Source organism: Homo sapiens, chromosome 12 (assembly GCF_000001405.40).
Source record: "Homo sapiens chromosome 12, GRCh38.p14 Primary Assembly".
Taxonomy (NCBI): domain Eukaryota; kingdom Metazoa; phylum Chordata; class Mammalia; order Primates; family Hominidae; genus Homo; species Homo sapiens.
The window spans coordinates 127,638,982-127,643,481 of NC_000012.12; the positions used below are offsets into that span (position 1 = coordinate 127,638,982).

Sequence of the window (4,500 nt, forward strand, 5' to 3'; positions counted from 1 at the left end):
AGGTCCACATTTATACTGAGCTGATAAGATAGTGACAATTTAGTCTTATCAAGTGATTTATTTATTTATTTAGTTTATTTTTTATTTTTTTGAGATGAAATGTCACTGTTGCCCAGGTTGGGGTGCAGTGGTGCAATCTCAGCTCACTGCAACGTCTGCCTCCCAGGTTCAAGCAATTCTCCTGCCTCAGCCTCTCAAGTAGCTGGGATTACAGGCATGCACCACCACACACAGCTAATTTTTGTATTTGTAGTAGAGAAGGCGTTTCACCATGTTGGCCAAGCTGTTCTCGAACTCCTGACCTCAAATGGTCCACCCGCCTCGGCCTCCCAAATTGCTGGGGTATCAAATGATTTAAAAGGTATTTGGGGGAAAAAGAGTGTGGTTAGATGTTTTTAAATTTTATTTGAATACCATAAGTACTATATTTGACAGTTATTATATTTGATGTCAATATTTTAATAATTCAAACTGTAACTAATGGAGAATTAATGTTTGTCAATTAGAAGGGTATACGATTTTGCTGCACTTCTATTCTGAATTCTCAACAGTCTTATTTGAAAAGAAAAAAAAATTATGGAATCGGAAACCTTAGTTTGTTTTGGCTAATGAGCAATTGGTCATACTCTTCCTTATCCAGAATGTGTTCATTCCTTTGGAACAACAGATCCTCAGCCTTTTGCTGGAAATCTTATGTCCAAGTTGAGAAAAATGAAAACTGGATTGAGAGGTGCAGAGGTGTGCCCCAGCATCCCCTCACTATAAGAATGAGTGGCTGTGCTGTGATTTACCCTGAGGGACAGCTTAACTTTGCTGCACCTTGAATGCCAATTGCCAGTTCCCACACATCCAGTTACGCCTGGGAAACAGAGACGCTTCTCCATCTGGCACTCATTGAGTGTCTTTCTGGCAGAGACAGGAACAAAACTAAGAACAACATTAAGTGTTACTCTACCATCTCTCCTAGGTCCTGGGGTTATTCTGACAAACTCTAAGCCTGCACAAATCACCCATGAAATATAATATACACAGCTAGGGTCAGCCATCCAGGAATCCTATCTAATAGTTTAGCCAAATCCACTCAGTACCAAGCATCACCACACACCACCTTTGTGCAATGTAGTGTCTCTTCTGATGAGCTTACAGTTCTTCTGTCTTATATTGTTGTCATACATGGAATTTAAACTGAAAAATAGTACATATAAACAATTGTGTTTGACTGTATTCATTGCCCAAGCAGAAGCCACTTTTCTGTTTTCCTGCCAAACAATCTCAATTTTGTGCTGAGAGTAGCTGGGTATCCCATCCCCTGTCCCAAGGAGTACAGCCTGATTGGTCTGAGTCAGACATGTGTTACCACTCCCCATTGCCAGTGATTGGGCTAAGGATAGGCATGTGACCTGATAGTGGCCAATGAGGCAAAAGGGGAAGTCAGACGTGGTGCTTTGGGAATGGGGACAGGCAAAGAACAATGACAACGAAAGCCAAATAAGAATAAAGAGACAAGCCAACATAAACAATTAAAGAAAAAAAATCATAAGAAAAACAAGATAGAACTTTCAAAAAAAAAAACACATTTTTTTCTTGCCCCACTTTCTTCTTGCTTGGGAGGGTGATAGATTTGATGTTTGGCACCCAGGCAGGAATTTCTGTCTAAGGAAGTCTGGAAGAATTGCACGGACAGAGCCTTAGATCCCTGAGAAAGGCATGTCTCCAGACCGCCAGTTGTGAGAGCTAATTCATCATCCACGTCATTCAACTGTTAACCGTAGTTAAGCAATCTGACTGGTGAAAGTAAAAAATGCCCATTGCTATTAGATTCTGATGCTTTCCAGAGGGGCTGAGCTTGATCCTCATGCTGCCTTTGATTAAAAGGAAAACCAGTGAGGGCTGGAGGTCTTAACAATATTTCATCCCCCAAATGAGACTTTCTCTTCAGTGTAATGTGAAGGGTTGAGAGAGAATTGAAATGAAGATGGAAGATGAAATAAAATGTCTCCCATGTGACTTTATGTTGTTTAACACTGTCTGGGTGTCACGTAAAGTCATATTGTACAACACCAGTGAAGCAGGCACCCTTTGAAAAACATCGTTACAATATGTGCTATCCAAAATCAAGACTTTTGTACCTTTGAGGCTATGTTAAATACACAGGGTGAAGCACAAGATTTTTCTGGGTGTGAAATATTGACTGTGGGTGTTTGTGTAGATGTGCATGTTATGTACACAAAAATATCAGCCTATGAATTCTTCAGTCATTGTACTTTCAAATATAAAAACAAGAAATCAATAGATGATTAATAATGACTGAACTGAATCAGGATGTTTTCAGAAATAACAGTAATTTTGGCAGTAGTTAATAACAAATGCCATTGTTGGCTCAAACTTTGAAACAATGCAATATTTTGATGATTAAAATTATAACAATTTGGGTGTTTGGGGATTGATTGTGGAGTGGCCAGATGCTGTCAGAGGAAAGCAAGACCTGGCTCAGGGCTTATGTTTACGTAATTTGCCTTATCAATTAATCTGGAGGCAGCTTTCTGGTTTACCGTGTGGGTCTAGCTGCACTGTCAGCCCGTGTCTCTCCTACTGTGCTTTAAATAGCATTTTCCAATTTTCAGTCTTTTGTCAAATATTCTTTTTTTTTTTTTTTTTTTTTTTTGAGACGGAGTCTTGCTTTGTTGCCCAGGCGTGATCTCACTGCAACCTCCACCTCCCGGGTTCAAGCGATTCTCCTGCCTGCCTCAGCCTCCCTAGTAGCTGGGATTATAGGTGCTTGCCACCACACCTGGCTACATTTTTGTATTTTTAGTAGAGAGAGGGTTTCATGATGTTGGCCAGGCTGTTCTTGAACTCCTGATCTCAAGTGATCCACCCACCTCGGCCTCCCAAAGTGCAGGGATTACAGGGGTGAGCCACCACCCCCATCCTCAAATATTCTTACAAAATTTCCTATAATTACCATAATGGCTGTACTATTATCTACTTAAGTAGATTACTTAATCTACTTAATTTAAAAGTCTTATGTCACTTAAATAAATATATTTGAAAAGGACATTCTAACAGGAAACTATACCAACATGATGAATGGAAAACCATTATCACTTGTCAAAAATCAAAGGTAATTATGGAAGTAAATACAATAGATAAACATGAAATATCATTACCTAGTTACCACTATGTGCTTCAGGTTTACTGCCTGAGTTCTGCTTTTCTTTGGGAGTGGTCAGAAAGGAAGATTCAGTGGTAGCAGGAGGATTTTCAGTTATGTAAGCATCAAACAGAATTCTCAATGTAGCTGGCGTTAGTCCAAACTGCAGCATTTTGTAAGCCCCCGCAGTTTCACAGACCTTGATGAGAGTGAAACATTCCACCGGGGCTCAGGCCGTGAGAAACATCCTACTAACCACCTGACCGCAAGGCGTAGGAACATCCTTATCATACCTTGCCAGGCAAAGGCTCAACTGAAGGAATGTCCCTACCATATCCCGCTGGGCAAAGGTCCAAGGAACATCCTATCACATCTCACAGGAGAAAGGGCCAAACCACCTGATCATAGGACCATCTTACCAATATCCTGCTGGGCAGCAAACCGTACTGCCCAGACATCCCCCTGCCAAACCTATAAATGACGCCAGCCTGTAAGCATCAGTGGGCTCTGACGTTAAGCTGGTCCTAGTGCTGGACATAAAAATCTGCTTTGCCGTAGAGCCGCCAACTCTCTCTCTATCTTTCTTTAGCCCTCGCCTTCCCTTCAAAACCCAACAGCCAGAAGAACCCAAATCTTGTGGAAAGGGAATCCCTTGGTCGCCATATAATTGAGTGTGATTTAAATGGCAGATTTTGTGTCATCTAGAATTATGTCCTAAGGTAACAATCTCCCATGTTGTGGCTGACCAGGTTGGAAGTCCACCATGATAGGCAGCTGTAGACCCTCCCCCCATCCCAAGGGATGGCTCATGATTAGCCTAATCCAATGGAGGTAATCCCATTCCCCTGTCAATGACTGGTTCAGGGATGGGGCAAGTAACCCAGTTTTACTCAAACAGATATTAGGAAATATCTTTGTGGCAGGAAAATAGGGTCTGGAGGCAGGGAACATAAGGCCAATTTACACATCGGCTGTGACAGGAAATGTCATCTCCATAGGCCATAGGCTGAGTAAATGACTTTGTAATTTTACTTCACCCTCTTCATTTATTTAAGACGTACACCAAGTAACCAGTGGAAACTTCTAGAGGGTATTTAAACCCCCAAAAATTCTGTAACGGTGCCCTGAGCCCCTATGCTTGGGCCCACTCCCACACTGTGGAGTGTACTTTCATTTTCAATACATCTCTGCTTTTGTTGCTTCATTCTTTCCTGGCTTTGTTTGTACGTTGTGTCCAATTCTTTGTTTAAGAAGCCAAGAACCTGGACACCCTCCATTGGTAACACCTTCTGTGCCTTCTAAGCAATATTTACCTCTTTGATAATAATTGTAATGTGAGAAAGCTC

At 41.4% G+C, this 4,500-nt stretch overlaps 1 annotated feature.

Annotated features, from left to right (window-relative positions):
- Positions 3,283-3,577: a silencer, noted in NCBI's record as "tiled region #13155; K562 Repressive DNase matched - State 9:DNaseU". NCBI's record gives its function as "represses a minimal TATA promoter and a strong SV40 promoter by Sharpr-MPRA in K562 cells {active_cell/tissue: K562}" and the evidence as "EXISTENCE:reporter gene assay evidence [ECO:0000049][PMID:27701403]".